Source organism: Homo sapiens, chromosome 9, assembly GCF_000001405.40.
Source record: "Homo sapiens chromosome 9, GRCh38.p14 Primary Assembly".
In the NCBI taxonomy this organism is placed as follows: Eukaryota; Metazoa; Chordata; class Mammalia; order Primates; family Hominidae; genus Homo; species Homo sapiens.
Genome location: NC_000009.12, coordinates 104,805,681 through 104,824,775, shown reverse-complemented (window position 1 = coordinate 104,824,775; position 19,095 = coordinate 104,805,681). Strand labels below are relative to the sequence as shown.

The following is a 19,095-nucleotide window of genomic DNA, read 5'->3' as shown; positions in this document are numbered from 1 at the left end:
TGGAAGGACTTACAGAGGTGCAGAATGTACGTTGTACATAGCAGGTTTCAGCAAATGTTAGCTCCCTCTTTCCCCACATCCATTCAAATCTGTTCCTTCTCCAAAGGATGTGTCAAGGAGGAAATGGACCTGGCTGGGAAACCCTCAGAATACTGGGATGATGCTGAGCTTGGCTCATACCTGTGCTTTGCTTTCAGGCCAGTACGGAATTCCCAGGCCCTGGTATTTTCCTTGCACCAAGTCCTACTGGTTTGGCGAGGAAAGTGATGAGAAGAGCCACCCTGGTTCCAACCAGAAGAGAATATCAGAAAGTAAGTGCTGTTGACCTCCTGCTCTTTCTTTAACCTAGTGCTGCTGCCTCTGCTAACTGTTGGGGGCAAGCGATGTCTCCTGCCTTTCTAAAAGACTGTGAAACCACTCCAGGGGCAGAGAAATCACATGCAGTGTCCCTTTCCAAATCCTCCCATGCCATTTATGTCCAATGCTGTTGACCTATTGGGAGTTCACGGTCTCGATCCCTGAGGGACATTTTCTTTGTTGTCTTGGCTTCTAGAAGAGTATCTTTTACTTGCCCCCTCCCAAACACACATTTCATGGTCTCCTAACAAGCTAGAAGAAAGAGGTAAAGACAAGCGTGATTGTGGAACCATAGCCTCGCTGCCTGCCTGTGACATGGTGACCTGTGTATCAGCCTGTGTGGGCTGAGACCAAGTGGCTACCACAGAGCTCAGCCTATGCTTCATAATGTAATCATTACCCAGATCCCTAATCCTCTCTTGGCTCTTAACTGCAGACAGAGATGTCCACAGCTCATCAAAGGCTCTGCCTTCTGGGTTCTTTGTGCTTAGAGTGGCTTCCTAAATATTTAATAGGTCCCTTTTCTGCCAGTCTCTTCTGTGCCCATCCCCTGATTGCCCTTGGTAAAAGTATGATGCCCCTTAGTGTAGCACGCTTGCCTGCTGTTCCTAATCATCTTCTCCTACCTCCTCTTTACACCTAGCTCCTGTTTCAGTCACCTAGAAATGCTCACAGTCGCTGGAATATGTCATGTTCTTCCACACCTCCATGCCTTTGTAGGTACTGTTTGCTCTCACAGGAGAACTTTCTCTCTAACTTGCCTATCTTCTCAACTCCTCCTTTCTCTCCAAGATCTAGTTCCGGATCCCCTCCCCTGAGCATCCCTCCTTGGTTCTCAGGTAGTCAGTCACTCTCTGCCCTGAACTTCCATGGCACGTGAAAGAAAATCTTTTTATTTTAAAACAATTACAGACTCACAAGAAGTAATACAAATTACATGAGGGGGTTCCCTTAAACCTTTCATCCAGTTTCCCCAATGGTAGCAGCATGTGTAACTGTAGAATAGTATCAAAACCATGAAATTGACATAGGTACAATTCACAAACCTTCTTCAGATTTCACTAGCTTTATGTGCGCTCATTTGTGTGTGTGTGTGCGTATTTAGTTCTATGCAATTTTATCATGTGTGAATTCATGTAATTACTAGCTCAGTCAAGCTGCAGAAATATCTCATTGTCACAAAGCTCCTTCATGCTACCCCTTAATGGCCACAGCCACCTCCCTTCTTCCTCAGTTCCTGACACCTGTCAACCACTAATGCGTTCCTCGTTTTTACAGTTTTATTATTTCTAGAATGTTACATAAATGGAACCATACAGTAGGTATCCTTTTGATACTGGCTTTTTTTTTTTTTCACTCAGCAGTATTCCCTTAGATCTATCCAAGTTGTGTGTGTCAACAGTTCATTCCTCTTCACTGCTGAGTAGTGTTCCCTGGGAGGGGTGTATCACAGTTCCATGGCATTTTTAGATGTATTTTTTAAACAGCTTTCAGCATCCTCTATTTTAATTGTTCATCAAGTCCTTTTTCCCAATAGACTCTGAATGCTCCTTTATCATCGTATTCCCATCACCAACATCAGTACCCAAATAGGCCCTAAATAAACATTTATAGCCTCCTGCCTGCCTGAGAAACCAGGGTGGACATGGAGAGAAGGCACTTCTGAAAGTTCAAGCGCAGTGCCCTGTGTCCTTACACTCCACTCCTCAGTGCTTTCTGTGGGTTCATTTCTGTCTTCTCTCCTGTCACAGTCTGCATGGAGGAGGAACCCACCCACTTGAAGCTGGGCGTGTCCATTCAGAACCTGGTAAAAGTCTACCGAGATGGGATGAAGGTGGCTGTCGATGGCCTGGCACTGAATTTTTATGAGGGCCAGATCACCTCCTTCCTGGGCCACAATGGAGCGGGGAAGACGACCACCATGTAAGAAGAGGGTGTGGTTCCCGCAGAATCAGCCACAGGAGGGTTCTGCAGTAGAGTTAGAAATTTATACCTTAGGAAACCATGCTGATCCCTGGGCCAAGGGAAGGAGCACATGAGGAGTTGCCGAATGTGAACATGTTATCTAATCATGAGTGTCTTTCCACGTGCTAGTTTGCTAGATGTTATTTCTTCAGCCTAAAACAAGCTGGGGCCTCAGATGACCTTTCCCATGTAGTTCACAGAATTCTGCAGTGGTCTTGGAACCTGCAGCCACGAAAAGATAGATTACATATGTTGGAGGGAGTTGGTAATTCCCAGGAACTCTGTCTCTAAGCAGATGTGAGAAGCACCTGTGAGACGCAATCAAGCTGGGCAGCTGGCTTGATTGCCTTCCCTGCGACCTCAAGGACCTTACAGTGGGTAGTATCAGGAGGGGTCAGGGGCTGTAAAGCACCAGCGTTAGCCTCAGTGGCTTCCAGCACGATTCCTCAACCATTCTAACCATTCCAAAGGGTATATCTTTGGGGGGTGACATTCTTTTCCTGTTTTCTTTTTAATCTTTTTTTAAAACATAGAATTAATATATTATGAGCTTTTCAGAAGATTTTTAAAAGGCAGTCAGAAATCCTACTACCTAACACAAAAATTGTTTTTATCTTTGAATAATATGTTCTTGTTTGTCCATTTTCCATGCATGCGATGTTAGGCATACAAAATACATTTTTTAAAGAATACTTTCATTGCAGATTGGAAACTTCGTTTAAAAAATGCTCATACTAAAATTGGCATTTCTAACCCATAGGCCCACTTGTAGTTATTTACCGAAGCAAAAGGACAGCTTTGCTTTGTGTGGGTCTGGTAGGGTTCATTAGAAAGGAATGGGGGCGGTGGGAGGGTTGGTGTTCTGTTCTCTCTGCAGACTGAATGGAGCATCTAGAGTTAAGGGTAGGTCAACCCTGACTTCTGTACTTCTAAATTTTTGTCCTCAGGTCAATCCTGACCGGGTTGTTCCCCCCGACCTCGGGCACCGCCTACATCCTGGGAAAAGACATTCGCTCTGAGATGAGCACCATCCGGCAGAACCTGGGGGTCTGTCCCCAGCATAACGTGCTGTTTGACATGTGAGTACCAGCAGCACGTTAAGAATAGGCCTTTTCTGGATGTGTGTGTGTCATGCCATCATGGGAGGAGTGGGACTTAAGCATTTTACTTTGCTGTGTTTTTGTTTTTTCTTTTTTTCTTTTTTATTTTTTTGAGATGGAGTCTCGCTCTGTAGCCAGGCTGGACTGTAGTGGCGCGATCTCGGCTCACTGCAACCTTGGCCTCCCAGGTTCAAGCGATTCTCCTGCCTCAGCCTCCCGAGTAGCTGGGACTCTAGGCACACACCACCATGCCCAGCTAATTTTTGTGTTTTTAGTAGAGACGGGGTTTCACCATGTTGGCCAGGATGGTCTCAATGTCTTGACCTCGTGATCCGCCCACCTCGGTCTCCCAAAGTGCTGGGAACACAGGCATGAGCCACTGTGTCTGGCCACATTTTACTTTCTTTGAATATGGCAGGCTCACCTCCGTGAACACCTTGAGACCTAGTTGTTCTTTGATTTTAGGAGAAGTGGGAGGTGAATGGTTGAGCTGTAGAGGTGACATCAGCCCAGCCAGTGGATGGGGGCTTGGGAAACATTGCTTCCCATTATTGTCATGCTGGAGGGCCCTTTAGCCCATCCTCTCCCCCGCCACCCTCCTTATTGAGGCCTGGAGCAGACTTCCCAGACCTGGTAGTGCTTCAGGGCCCTGGTATGATGGACCTATATTTGCTGCTTAAGACATTTGCTCCCACTCAGGTTGTCCCATCAGCCATAAGGCCCCCAGGGAGCCCGTGTGATGGAGCAGAGAGAGACCTGAGCTCTGCAATCTTGGGCAAGGCTTTTCCCTTATGTTTCTTCTTATCTAAAGTGAACAGCTGGGGCTCATGTGCTCCCTCCTCATCTAAAGTGAACACATGGGGCTCATGTGCAGGGTCCTCCCCGCTTTCAGAGCCTGAGGTCCCCTGAGGCTCAGGAAGGCTGCTCCAGGTGAGTGCCGAGCTGACTTCTTGGTGGACGTGCTGTGGGGACAGCCCATTAAAGACCACATCTTGGGGCCCTGAAATTGAAAGTTGTAACTGCCTGGTGCATGGTGGCCAGGCCTGCTGGAAACAGGTTGGAAGCGATCTGTCACCTTTCACTTTGATTTCCTGAGCAGCTCATGTGGTTGCTCACTGTTGTTCTACCTTGAATCTTGAAGATTATTTTTCAGAAATTGATAAAGTTATTTTAAAAAGCACGGGGAGAGAAAAATATGCCCATTCTCATCTGTTCTGGGCCAGGGGACACTGTATTCTGGGGTATCCAGTAGGGCCCAGAGCTGACCTGCCTCCCTGTCCCCAGGCTGACTGTCGAAGAACACATCTGGTTCTATGCCCGCTTGAAAGGGCTCTCTGAGAAGCACGTGAAGGCGGAGATGGAGCAGATGGCCCTGGATGTTGGTTTGCCATCAAGCAAGCTGAAAAGCAAAACAAGCCAGCTGTCAGGTGCGGCCCAGAGCTACCTTCCCTATCCCTCTCCCCTCCTCCTCCGGCTACACACATGCGGAGGAAAATCAGCACTGCCCCAGGGTCCCAGGCTGGGTGCGGTTGGTAACAGAAACTTGTCCCTGGCTGTGCCCCTAGGTCCTCTGCCTTCACTCACTGTCTGGGGCTGGTCCTGGAGTTTGTCTTGCTCTGTTTTTTTGTAGGTGGAATGCAGAGAAAGCTATCTGTGGCCTTGGCCTTTGTCGGGGGATCTAAGGTTGTCATTCTGGATGAACCCACAGCTGGTGTGGACCCTTACTCCCGCAGGGGAATATGGGAGCTGCTGCTGAAATACCGACAAGGTGCCTGATGTGTATTTATTCTGAGTAAATGGACTGAGAGAGAGCGGGGGGCTTTTGAGAAGTGTGGCTGTATCTCATGGCTAGGCTTCTGTGAAGCCATGGGATACTCTTCTGTTATCACAGAAGAGATAAAGGGCATTGAGACTGAGATTCCTGAGAGGAGATGCTGTGTCTTTATTCATCTTTTTGTCCCCAACATGGTGCACTAAATTTATGGTTAGTTGAAAGGGTGGATGCTTAAATGAATGGAAGCGGAGAGGGGCAGGAAGACGATTGGGCTCTCTGGTTAGAGATCTGATGTGGTACAGTATGAGGAGCACAGGCAGGCTTGGAGCCAACTCTGGCTGGCCCTGAGACATTGGGAAAGTCACAACTTGCCTCACCTTCTTTGCCGATAATAATAGTGGTGCTTACCTCATAGAGGATTAAATTAAATGAGAATGCACACAAACCACCTAGCACAATGCCTGGCATATAGCAAGTTCCCAAATAAAATGCTACTGTTCTTACCTCTGTGAGGATGTGGTACCTATATATACAAAGCTTTGCCATTCTAGGGGTCATAGCCATACAGGGTGAAAGGTGGCTTCCAGGTCTCTTCCAGTGCTTACCCCTGCTAATATCTCTCTAGTCCCTGTCACTGTGACAAATCAGAACTGAGAGGCCTCACCTGTCCCACATCCTTGTGTTTGTGCCTGGCAGGCCGCACCATTATTCTCTCTACACACCACATGGATGAAGCGGACGTCCTGGGGGACAGGATTGCCATCATCTCCCATGGGAAGCTGTGCTGTGTGGGCTCCTCCCTGTTTCTGAAGAACCAGCTGGGAACAGGCTACTACCTGACCTTGGTCAAGAAAGATGTGGAATCCTCCCTCAGTTCCTGCAGAAACAGTAGTAGCACTGTGTCATACCTGAAAAAGGTGAGCTGCAGTCTTGGTGCTGGGCTGGTGTTGGGTCTGGGCAGCCAGGACTTGCTGGCTGTGAATGATTTCTCCATCTCCACCCCTTTTGCCATGTTGAAACCACCATCTCCCTGCTCTGTTGCCCCTTTGAAATCATATCATACTTAAGGCATGGAAAGCTAAGGGGCCCTCTGCTCCCATTGTGCTAGTTCTGTTGAATCCCGTTTTCCTTTTCCTATGAGGCACAGAGAGTGATGGAGAAGGTCCTTAGAGGACATTATTATGTCAAAGAAAAGAGACTTGTCAAGAGGTAAGAGCCTTGGCTACAAATGACCTGGTGTTCCTGCTCATTACTTTTCAATCTCATTGACCTTAACTTTTAAACTATAAAACAGCCAATATTTATTAGGCACTGATTTCATGCCAGAGACACTCTGGGCATGAAAGAAAGTAATGATAATAGTTAATTTTATATAGCGTTGTTACCATTTACAACCTTTTTTTTTTTTTTAACCTCTATCATCTCAATTAAAGTGCAGAGAGACCCTGGGAAGAAGGTAACTATATTTATTATCCCAGATGAGGGAAGTGAGGCTTGTAGGGAATTGGTAGCTGATTCAAGGTCACCCAGCAGGTAAATAACAGTGGTGGGACCAGACCCAATTACCAGGTATGTTTTCCTCTGTACCGCAGTACATGCCTGAGATTTATTTGTGTGTTGAAGCCAGTGGTACCTAATGTATTTACATCCCAACCTGAAACTCCTATCCACTTATTTACCTTTTAATGAGCCTCTTAACTCAAGTGCAGTCTGAGGACCAGCAGCATCAGGATCACTTGGGAACTTGTTAGAAATTCAGCAACCTGGGCCCAGCTCAGACCTACCGAATCAGAATCTGTGCATTTTAACAAGGTTCTTGAGTGGTTGAACACACATTAAAGCATGAGAAGCATTGAACTAGACATGTAGCCAGGTAAAGGCCTTGCCTGAGATGGTTGGCAAAGGCCTCATTGCAGCATTCATTGGCAGGCCACAGTTCTTTTGGCAGCTCTGCTTCCTGACCTTTCACCCTCAGGAAGCGAGGCTGTTCACACGGCACACACATGCCAGACAGGGTCCTCTGAAGCCACGGCTGCCAGTGCATGTGTCCCAGGGAAAGCTTTTTCCTTTAGTTCTCACACAACAGAGCTTCTTGGAAGCCCTCCCCGGCGAAGGTGCTGGTGGCTCTGCCTTGCTCCGTCCCTGACCCGTTCTCACCTCCTTCTTTGCCATCAGGAGGACAGTGTTTCTCAGAGCAGTTCTGATGCTGGCCTGGGCAGCGACCATGAGAGTGACACGCTGACCATCGGTAAGGACTCTGGGGTTTCTTATTCAGGTGGTGCCTGAGCTTCCCCCAGCTGGGCAGAGTGGAGGCAGAGGAGGAGAGGTGCAGAGGCTGGTGGCGCTGACTCAAGGTTTGCTGCTGGGCTGGGGCTGGGTGGCTGCGGGTGTGGGAGCAGCTTGGTGGCGGGTTGGCCTAATGCTTGCTGGGGTGCCTGGGGCTCGGTTTGGGAGCTAGCAGGGCAGTGTCCCAGAGAGCTGAGATGATTGGGGTTTGGGGAATCCCTTAGGGGAGTGGACACTGAATACCAGGGATGAGGAGCTGAGGGCCAAGCCAGGAGGGTGGGATTTGAGCTTAGTACATAAGAAGAGTGAGAGCCCAGGAGATGAGGAACAGCCTTCCAGATTTTTCTTGGGTAGCGTGTGTAGGAGGCCAGTGTCACCAGTAGCATATGTGGAACAGAAGTCTTGACCCTTGCTATCTCTGCCTAGTCCTAATGGCTGGCTTTTCCCAGGAAGGCTTCTGCTTCCATGGACTGTTAGATTAACCCTTTATTTAGGTAAATGAGGGAACCTACTTTATAAGCATAGGAAAGGGTGAAGAATCTTTTAAGATTCCTTTACTCAAGTTTTCTTTTGAAGAATCCCAGAGCTTAGGCAATAGACACCAGACTTTGAGCCTCAGTTATCCATTCACCCATCCACCCACCCACCCACCCATCCTTCCATCCTCCCATCCTCCCATTCACCCATCCACCCATCCAGCTGTCCACCCATTCTACACTGAGTACCTATAATGTGCCTGGCTTTGGTGATACAAAGGTGAATAAGACATAGTCCTTTCCTTTGCCCCCAACCCTCAGACCAGAGATGAACATGTGGAATGACCTAAACACCTGGAACAGGTGTGGTGTATGAGCGGCAGGCCTCTGATGAGAGGGTGGGGGATGGCCAGCCCTCACTCCGAAGCCCCTCTGAGTTGATTGAGCCATCTTTGCATTCTGGTCCCTGCAGATGTCTCTGCTATCTCCAACCTCATCAGGAAGCATGTGTCTGAAGCCCGGCTGGTGGAAGACATAGGGCATGAGCTGACCTATGTGCTGCCATATGAAGCTGCTAAGGAGGGAGCCTTTGTGGAACTCTTTCATGAGATTGATGACCGGCTCTCAGACCTGGGCATTTCTAGTTATGGCATCTCAGAGACGACCCTGGAAGAAGTAAGTTAAGTGGCTGACTGTCGGAATATATAGCAAGGCCAAATGTCCTAAGGCCAGACCAGTAGCCTGCATTGGGAGCAGGATTATCATGGAGTTAGTCATTGAGTTTTTAGGTCATCGACATCTGATTAATGTTGGCCCCAGTGAGCCATTTAAGATGGTAGTGGGAGATAGCAGGAAAGAAGTGTTTTCCTCTGTACCACAGTACATGCCTGAGATTTGTGTGTTGAAACCAGTGGTACCTAACACATTTACATCCCAACCTTAAACTCCTATGCACTTATTTACCCTTTAATGAGCCTCTTTACTTAAGTACAGTGTGAGGAACAGCGGCATCAGGATCACTTGGGAACTTGTTAGAAATTCAGCAACTTGGGCCCAGCTCAGACCTACTGAATCAGAATCAGGAGCAATTCTCTGGTGTGACTGTGTCACAGCCAGGTATCAACTGGATTCTCATACATAGGAAATGACAAACGTTTATGGATGGATAGTCTACTTGTGCCAGGTGCTGAGATTTGTTTTTTGTTTTTTGATTTTTTTTTAATCACTGTGACCTCATTTAATTCTCAAAAAAAGATGAAAAAATGAACACTCAGGAATGCTGACATGAGATTCAGAATCAGGGGTTTGGGGCTTCAAAGTCCATCCTCTCTTTATCCATGTAATGCCTCCCCTTAGAGATACAACATCACAGACCTTGAAGGCTGAAGGGGATATAAAAGCTGTCTGGCCAAGTGGTCTCCAAGCTTGACAGTGCAGCAGAATCACCTGGGGATATTATTAAAAATAAACATACTAAGGTTTGGCTTCAGGGCCTGTGAATCAGAATTTCTGGAGGTGAGGCCTTGAAGTCTGTATTTCTATTGCATACTTTGGACACAGTGGTCTATAGACTAGAGTTTGGAAATGATTGCGCTCATTCAGATTCTCTTCTGATGTTTGAATTGCTGCCATCATATTTCTAGTGCTCTATTTCCTCCTGCTCATTCTGTCTTGGATAACTTATCATAGTACTAGCCTACTCAAAGATTTAGAGCCACAGTCCTGAAAGAAGCCACTTGACTCATTCCCTGTAGGTTCAGAATAAATTTCTTCTGCGCAGTGTCTGTCATAGCTTTTTTTAAATTTTTTTTTATTTTTGATGAGACTGGAGTTTTGCTCTTATTGCCCAAGCTGGAGTGCAGTGGTGCGATTTTGGCTCACTGCAACCTCCACCTCCCAGGTTCAAGCGATTCTCCTGCCTCAGCCTCCCAAGTAGCTGAGATTACAAGCATGTGCTACCACGCCCAGCTAATTTTGTATTTTTAGTAGAGATGGGTTTTATCCATGTTGGTCAGGCTGGTCTCGAGCTCCAGACCTCAGGTGATCTGCCCGCCTCGGCCTCCCAAAGTGCTGGGATTATAGGCCTGAGCCACAGCGCTCAGCCATAACTTTAATTTGAAAATGATTGTCTAGCTTGATAGCTCTCACCACTGAGGAAATGTTCTCTGGCAAAAACGGCTTCTCTCCCAGGTAACTCTGAGAAAGTGTTATTAAGAAATGTGGCTTCTACTTTCTCTGTCTTACGGGGCTAACATGCCACTCAGTAATATAATAATCGTGGCAGTGGTGACTACTCTCGTAATGTTGGTGCTTATAATGTTCTCATCTCTCTCATTTTCCAGATATTCCTCAAGGTGGCCGAAGAGAGTGGGGTGGATGCTGAGACCTCAGGTAACTGCCTTGAGGGAGAATGGCACACTTAAGATAGTGCCTTCTGCTGGCTTTCTCAGTGCACGAGTATTGTTCCTTTCCCTTTGAATTGTTCTATTGCATTCTCATTTGTAGAGTGTAGGTTTGTTGCAGATGGGGAAGGTTTGTTTTGTTGTAAATAAAATAAAGTATGGGATTCTTTCCTTGTGCCTTCAGATGGTACCTTGCCAGCAAGACGAAACAGGCGGGCCTTCGGGGACAAGCAGAGCTGTCTTCGCCCGTTCACTGAAGATGATGCTGCTGATCCAAATGATTCTGACATAGACCCAGGTCTGTTAGGGCAAGATCAAACAGTGTCCTACTGTTTGAATGTGAAATTCTCTCTCATGCTCTCACCTGTTTTCTTTGGATGGCCTTTAGCCAAGGTGATAGATCCCTACAGAGTCCAAAGAGAAGTGAGGAAATGGTAAAAGCCACTTGTTCTTTGCAGCATCGTGCATGTGATCAAACCTGAAAGAGCCTATCCATATCACTTCCTTTAAAGACATAAAGATGGTGCCTCAATCCTCTGAACCCATGTATTTATTATCTTTTCTGCGGGGTCCTAGTTTCTTGTATACATTAGGTGTTTAATTGTTGAACAAATATTCATTCGAGTAGATGAGTGATTTTGAAAGAGTCAGAAAGGGGAATTTGCTGTTAGAGTTAATTGTACCCTAAGACTTAGATATTTGAGGCTGGGCATGGTGGCTCATGCCAGTAATCCCAGCGCTTTGAGAGGCTGAGGTGGGTAGATCACCTGAGGTCAGGAGTTTGAGACCAGTCTGACCAACAAGGTGAAACCCCGTCTCTACTAAATACAAAAAATTAGCCGAGTGTGGTGGCACATGCCTGTCATCCCAGCTACTTGGGAGGCTGAGGCAGGAGAATCGCTTGAACCCAGGAGGCAGAGGTTGCAGTCAGCCACGGTTGCGCCATTGCACTCCAGACTGGGCAACAAGAGTGAAAACTCCATCTCAAAAAAGAAAAAAAAAGAATTAGATATTTTGGATGAGTGTGTCTTTGTGTGTTTAACTGAGATGGAGAGGAGAGCTAAGACATCAAACAAATATTGTTAAGATGTAAAAGCACATCAGTTAGGTATCATTAGTTTAGGACAAGGATTTCTAGAAAATTTTTAGGAACAGAAAACTTTCCAGTTCTCTCACCCCTGCTCAAAGAGTGTATGGCTCTTACATTATATATAACTGCCTGACTTCATACAGTATCAGTACTTAGATCATTTGAAATGTGTCCACGTTTTACCAAAATATAATAGGGTGAGAAGCTGAGATGCTAATTGCCATTGTGTATTCTCAAATATGTCAAGCTACGTACATGGCCTGTTTCATAGAGTAGTCTATAAGAAATTGATGACTTGATTCATCCGAATGGCTGGCTGTAACACCTGGTTACGCATGAACACCTCTTTTCAGTTGTCTCAAGACACCTTTCTTTTCTGTACTTATCAGACAAGGACTGAAAGGCAGAGACTGCTACTGTTAGACATTTTGAGTCAAGCTTTTCCTTGGACATAGCTTTGTCATGAAAGCCCTTTACTTCTGAGAAACTTCTAGCTTCAGACACATGCCTTCAAGATAGTTGTTGAAGACACCAGAAGAAGGAGCATGGCAATGCCGAAAACACCTAAGATAATAGGTGACCTTCAGTGTTGGCTTCTTGCAGAATCCAGAGAGACAGACTTGCTCAGTGGGATGGATGGCAAAGGGTCCTACCAGGTGAAAGGCTGGAAACTTACACAGCAACAGTTTGTGGCCCTTTTGTGGAAGAGACTGCTAATTGCCAGACGGAGTCGGAAAGGATTTTTTGCTCAGGTGAGACGTGCTGTTTTCGCCAGAGACTCTGGCTTCATGGGTGGGCTGCAGGCTCTGTGACCAGTGAAGGCAGGATAGCATCCTGGTCAAGATATGGATGCCGGAGCCAGATTTATCTGTATTTCAATCCCAGTTCTATTCCTTGCCAGTTGTGTATCCGCTGGCAAGTTACTTCTCTATGCCTCAATCTCCTCATCTGTAAAATGGGGATAATAATATTACCTGCAATACAGGGTTGTTACGAAAATAAAAATGAATAGGTGCTTAGAATGGGGCCTGACATTAGTAAGTGCTTAGTTTTGTGTGTGTATATGTTATTTTTATTTTGGAGGAGAACATAAAAAGGACAAAGTGTAGAAAAACTGGTTGGGTGTATTCAGCTGTCATAACATGAGAGTTGTTATGCCCAGATGCACTTGACATGTGAATTTATTAGAAACATGATTTTTCTCTGAGTTGATGTTTAACTCAAACTGATAGAAAAGATAGGTCAGAATATAGTTGGCCAACAGAGAAGACTTGTTAGACTATTGTCTGCATGTCAGTGTTTGCATGCTAACTTGCTTAGTTAGAAAGGTTAAATTTTTTCACTCTATAAAATCAAGAAATATAGAGAAAAGGTCTGCAGAGAGTCTTTCATTTGATGATGTGGATATTGTTAAGAGCGGGAGTTTGGAGCATACAGAGCTCAAGTTGAATCCTGACTTTGCTACTTATTGGCTATATGACCTTGGGCAAGCTGCTTAGTCTCTCTGATCCTCAGTTACCTTTGTTTGTTGATGATGACCATTGATAACACAACCATAAATAATGACAACATAGAGATAGTTCTCATTATAGTAGTTGTTATACAGAATTATTCACTCAATGTTAATTTTCTGCATTGAAATCCCAGAACATTAGAATTGGGGGCATTATTTGAATCTTTAAGGTTATAAGGAATACATTTCTCAGCAATAAATGGAAGGAGTTTTGGGTTAACTTATAAAGTATACCCAAGTCATTTTTTTTTCAGAGAAGATATGGTAGAAAGTCTTAGGAGGTTGAAGAAGGAATTGGATATTTATTCTTTCTGAGACTATCATGGGAGATAATGACTATGGTTGTCCATGATTGGAGCCGTTGCTGTAGAGTTGGTTTTATTATAGTGTAGGATTTGAATGGGCCATGTGTTCTCAGACCTCAGATTAAAATGAGAAAACTGAGGCCAGTGGGGAGCGTGACTTCACATGGGTACACTTGTGCTAGAGACAGAACCAGGATTCAGGACTTCTGGCTCCTGGTCCTGGGTTCATGGCCCAATGTAGTCTTTCTCAGTCTTCAGGAGGAGGAAGGGCAGGACCCAGTGTTCTGAGTCACCCTGAATGTGAGCACTATTTACTTCGTGAACTTCTTGGCTTAGTGCCTCTGCCAGGTGGCCATAACCTCTGGCCTTGTGTTGCCAGAGAAAAGGTTTAGTTTTCAGGCTCCATTGCTTCCCAGCTGCCAAGAATGCCTTGGTGCAGCACAGTCATAGGCCCTGCATTCCTCATTGCCGTGCTGGTTGGTCGGGGAGGTGGGCTGGACTCGTAGGGATTTGCCCCTTGGCCTTGTTTCTAACACTTGCCGTTTCCTGCTGTCCCCCTGCCCCCTCCACTGCCTGGGTAAAGATTGTCTTGCCAGCTGTGTTTGTCTGCATTGCCCTTGTGTTCAGCCTGATCGTGCCACCCTTTGGCAAGTACCCCAGCCTGGAACTTCAGCCCTGGATGTACAACGAACAGTACACATTTGTCAGGTATGTTTGTCTTCTACATCCCAGGAGGGGGTAAGATTCGAGCAGACCAAAGATGTTTACGAGGGCCAAGGGAATGGACTTCAGAATTACACGGTGGAATGAATTTTACTGCTGCGGCTCAGGTCCCTGTATAAGCTAATACTGCATGCATAGAACAGCAGCGAACTAACCCTGAATAATAGGCCAGTCTTCTGTTGAGCCTTTCAGCCTCTCTCCTCTTCATCCTACTGTTGTCAGGAACAGCCACATGTGTTTTAGGTGAAATAATCCACCCTTGCAAAAATCCATGATTAAGTTATAAAATATTTGGATTTGTGGAGCTGTGTTTTAATTCTGTAACTGAGTCACAGGGCACACTGTCAAAGCATAGAACCTCCAGAGACTTGTTTTCTGCAAAGTATAATTCATGTAATTATTATCTATTCTGTTATATTTGGGATGTTAGGTAGTGTTTGTTCTTTAGATAAAAATATCCCCCACTCTGTAACAATACATTAAATCAAAGAAAAGGACAAAGGATTTTTCTGGGTCTTGTTAGCAGGAGCTTTCTTCAGTCCTGAAAGATTTGTAGACCTGTAGATGGGGGAACTGTGTCAGTGATACAAAAGGGAAGCATTTAAAAAAAAAAAAGTATATATATATATATATATATATATATGTAATGTGAATTGGCCTCTTTTTCTCTAAGCCCACATTTTCTTCTTACATAGTTCAGGTTTACTTTATTTTTTCCTTTCCGGCTGCTGACCCTGTATTGCCCGTAGTTGTGGAACATAGCATGTGTTTGTGACCTGTGCCTGTTATTTTTGTGCTTTCTAGTTGTGCATGCAAAGAGTACAAAGTTTTCTTGCCCTTTCTTGGAAAATCCTGCTTGTCTGTGCCAAAGGGATAATTGTGAAAGCACTTTTGAAATACTTAATGAGTTGATTTTCTTCAAATTAAAAAAAATATATAAATGTATATGTGTATGTACATGTGTGTACACATACACACCTTTATACATACAGCCCATTTAAAACAAGCTCCACTTTGGAGTGCTCTACGTCACCCTGATGCCGAATACAGGGCCAGAGTCTGAGATCCTTCTGGGTGGTTTCTGTGTTTTGTTCATTTCTGTTTTAAGAGCCTGTCACAGAGAAATGCTTCCTAAAATGTTTAATTTATAAAAACATTTTTATCTCTCGATTACTGGTTTTAATGAATTACTAAGCTGGCTGCCTCTCATGTACCCACAGCAATGATGCTCCTGAGGACACGGGAACCCTGGAACTCTTAAACGCCCTCACCAAAGACCCTGGCTTCGGGACCCGCTGTATGGAAGGAAACCCAATCCCGTGAGTGCCACTTTAGCCATAAGCAGGCTTCTTGTGCTTGTTGCCTGGTTTGATTTCTAATATGCTGCATTTATCAACTGCATGCCACATTGTGACCGCCAGCATTTGCCCTTTGAATTATTATTATGTTTTATTTACAAAAAGCGAAGGTAGTAACCGAACTAAATTATCTAGGAACAAACGTTTGGAGAGTCTTCTAACACCGTGCAAAGCACGTCATTACAGACATTTGTTTACTGATTTAGAACCTTAATATTTAATTTAAATAGCACTTTACACTTACTGATGAAATGCTTTTCCTTTCTTTCTCTCCCAGCCCCTGTACTTAAGTGCTTCAATAGGCTCTCATTATATATGATTTTTAGGTTTTGCTTATCAGCTTCTTCGCTTTTATAATCTGAAAAGATGGCATATGAATTTTTATAAAAAGGGACACTTTCTTCTTCTCAAATTGTATATTTTTATTGTACTTTCCTTCAAAACCCCCTTTTAAAAAGTAAGCAGTGGATAAATAAATTCAGTGAAGCATCCATATGACCCTTAAGTGAGTGTAGGGGAAGGGAGGTCACCAGATCACTGTGAGTGAAGATGGTGGAGAGGTGAGGATCTTATGAGGCCGTGCTCAAGGCTGGTAGAGGTGGGTTAGTGTTTCCAGGTTTAGGCAGAATCTCAGCTGAGGTCATGAAACAACAGTGATCTCTGAAAAATTATGGCAAGGTGGGAAGGTGCTGGAGAATTGGAGAGGGGGCAAACTTGACTTTCAAGTTTCAATGGGAAGATAGGTGACTCTGCACACCACAGAACAGTGAGCATGATAACCTGTTTATACAAGGTTCTAGAGCAGATTTCTAAATGGATAGCTACTGTGTGCTTGTTTGTTCTTAATTAGTATTGGATAGTTACTAAATACTTGTTAGTACTTAGTACATAATGGGTGGTAAATCCTAGCAGCTAATATTGGTTCCCAAATAACCAGATGACAAGGATAGAGAAGGACACAGACACGGCCTATCTGGATTTCATGGTGCCTTTGATTTTCCACATGAAGGTTGTGTAGGGAAGATAGAAGCATGAGATGAGATGATAATATAGTTATCTGGATTCATCACTGGCCAGCTGAACCATATGAACTCATGGATTGATGCTAGCTTAGGAAGGCTCTGTAGGAGCCAGAACTGGGCTGAGAGCCAGCCCATAGAGACAAAAGAGGCCCGGCCCTGACATCAGAGGGTTCAAACATGATGTCTGAGCCCCACCTACAGTCTGCCGGAGGTGGTTGGAAGGAAGAGCCTTTATCCTTACAATTCTTACTGAAATTCAAATTTTTAGGTTTTGCAAAAAAATGGTGGACCTGAAGGAAATTTGACAGGAGCATGTCTCAGCTGTATTTAAATTTGTCTCAGCCAATCCCCTTTTGAATGTTCAGAGTGTAAGCTTCAGGAGGGCAGCGCGTCTTAGTGTGACTTTTCTGGTCAGTTCAGGTGCTTTAAGGAGACAATTAGAGATCAATCTGGAAAACTTCATTTGAATTTTTAATACATAAGAAAACAATAAGAAATAGTTAAAAATATATATTTATAATATATATATGTGTGTGTGTGTGTGTGTGTGTGTGTGTGTATATATATATATTTTATTTATTTATTTTTTTTTGAGATGGAGTCTCGCTCTGTTGCCCAGGCTGGAGTGCAGTGGCTCAATCTTGGCTCACTGCCACCTCTGCCTCCCAGGTTCAAGTGATTCTCCTACCTCAGCCTCCTGAGTAGCTGGGATTACAAGCATGTGCCACCACACTGGCTAATTTTTCTAATTTTAGTAGAGATGGAGTTTCACCATGTTGGACAGGATGGTCTTGAACTCCTGACTTAGTGATCCACCCGCCTTCGCCTCCCAAAGTTCTGGGATTACAGGCATGAGCCATCGTGCCTGGCAATTATATTTAATATTTAATAATAAGGAAATAATTGCTGTAACTTTACTTTAAATTGTGGAATTCTGAAACTGGAAGGGAACTGGAAATGACTTGTTGAATCAAATCATTTTAAACTTTTATTTTGCCAGTGGAAAAAATAAGCCCCCAAAAGAGCAGGGGACCTGCTGATGTCCCACAGTAATTCAGAGCTGGAGATGAGGTTGAAGGCTTTGTGTCTTATCTCCAGGGAAAATTTGTAGACAGCGTAGCTCTTTATGTGACGAGCATTCTCACCCCAGTCATCCCCCAATTCTCTACTCATTTGAGAACATAAATTGGATCTTGCCAGTCTCTACTCATTTTTCAGCACATCGAGCATAAGATCCAGACTCTTTCCCAGGCCTCTCTCATCTGGCTCCTCTCCTCCTCCTTTATCATTACTCTTCTTCGTAGCTTATCCTACTCCAGCCATGCTGTCTTCCTATTATTCCTAAAAAATAGAAATGCATTTCTTCCTAGGGCCTTTGTACCTGCACTTGCCATCGCTTTTGCTCAGAATGTTCTTTTTGCCAAGCTTTTGCCCAGCTTGTTCTCCATCATTGTTATGTTTTGGCTGAAATGTCTTCTCTTAGTAGGTTCATTCTCCCCAGTCACTGTCTTTTTATTTTGCTTTATTTTGGGCCATCTAAGGTTATCTTATTAGTGTATTTGTTGTTCGTCTCCTCCATGGGCATACACCTCCATGAAGGCAGGTATTTTCACCTTAGGCCCTCGAATATACTGGACAGCATCTGGCACGTAGTAGATGCTCAACGAATGTTTGTTGTGTGAGCAAATGGTTGGTTGATTGGATTGAACTGAGTTCAGTATGTAAATATTTAGGGCCTCTTTGCATTCTATTTTACTTATGTATAAAATGATACATAATGATGATATAAATGATGTCACAGTGTACAAGGCTGTTGTGGGATCAAGCAATCAAATGAGATCATGCTTGTCTTTTCCAAATGGTGAGGGAATAGATGCATGTTTGTGGTTGTTACGGAATGATCCTGTGCTCCTGAGGCAACAGAAAGGCCAGGCCATCTCTGGTAATCCTACTCTTGCTGTCTTCCCTTTGCAGAGACACGCCCTGCCAGGCAGGGGAGGAAGAGTGGACCACTGCCCCAGTTCCCCAGACCATCATGGACCTCTTCCAGAATGGGAACTGGACAATGCAGAACCCTTCACCTGCATGCCAGTGTAGCAGCGACAAAATCAAGAAGATGCTGCCTGTGTGTCCCCCAGGGGCAGGGGGGCTGCCTCCTCCACAAGTGAGTCACTTTCAGGGGGTGATTGGGCAGAAGGGGTGCAGGATGGGCTGGTAGCTTCCGCTTGGAAGCAGGAATGAGTGAGATATCATGTTGGGAGGGTCTGTTTCAGTCTTTTTTGTTTTTTGTTTTTTTTTCTGAGGCGGAGTCTTGCTCTGTCGCCCAGGCTGGAGTGCTGTGGCATGATCTTGCCTCACTGCAACCTCCACCTCCCAGGTTCAAGCGATTCTCCTGCCTCAGCCTCCTGAGTAGCTGGGATTACAGGCACGCACCACCATGTCTGGCTAATTTTTGTGTTTTTAGTAGAGATAGGGTTTCGCCGTGTTGGCTAGGCTGGTCTGGAATTCCTGACCTCAGGTGATCCACCCGCCTCGGCCTCCCAAAGTGCTGGGATTACAGGCGTGAGCCACTACGCCCAGCCCTGTTTCAGTCTTTAACTCGCTTCTTGTCATAAGAAAAAGCATGTGAGTTTTGAGGGGAGAAGGTTTGGACCACACTGTGCCCATGCCTGTCCCACAGCAGTAAAGTCACAGGACAGACTGTGGCAGGCCTGGCTTCCAATC

At 45.0% G+C, this 19,095-nt stretch overlaps 1 protein-coding gene across 1 annotated transcript in view, besides 1 other annotated feature; it reads left to right on the top strand.

Annotated features, from left to right (window-relative positions):
* ABCA1 (ATP binding cassette subfamily A member 1) overlaps positions 1–19,095 on the top strand; it is a 147,150-nt gene that overhangs the window by 103,380 nt on the left and 24,675 nt on the right. Inside the window, exons 18-31 of the mRNA NM_005502.4 lie at positions 198–311; positions 2,109–2,280; positions 3,270–3,401; positions 4,707–4,849; positions 5,053–5,190; positions 5,893–6,113; positions 7,372–7,444; positions 8,431–8,633; positions 10,301–10,349; positions 10,545–10,658; positions 12,054–12,202; positions 13,852–13,976; positions 15,212–15,310; positions 18,346–18,535. Coding sequence (NP_005493.2) covers positions 198–311; positions 2,109–2,280; positions 3,270–3,401; positions 4,707–4,849; positions 5,053–5,190; positions 5,893–6,113; positions 7,372–7,444; positions 8,431–8,633; positions 10,301–10,349; positions 10,545–10,658; positions 12,054–12,202; positions 13,852–13,976; positions 15,212–15,310; positions 18,346–18,535 — 1,922 coding nt within the window. The remainder of the gene's footprint in view (positions 1–197; positions 312–2,108; positions 2,281–3,269; positions 3,402–4,706; positions 4,850–5,052; positions 5,191–5,892; positions 6,114–7,371; positions 7,445–8,430; positions 8,634–10,300; positions 10,350–10,544; positions 10,659–12,053; positions 12,203–13,851; positions 13,977–15,211; positions 15,311–18,345; positions 18,536–19,095) is intronic.
* Positions 13,654–13,948: an enhancer, noted in NCBI's record as "tiled region #1797; HepG2 Activating non-DNase unmatched - State 17:Gen3'". NCBI's record gives its function as "activates a minimal TATA promoter and a strong SV40 promoter by Sharpr-MPRA in HepG2 cells {active_cell/tissue: HepG2}" and the evidence as "EXISTENCE:reporter gene assay evidence [ECO:0000049][PMID:27701403]".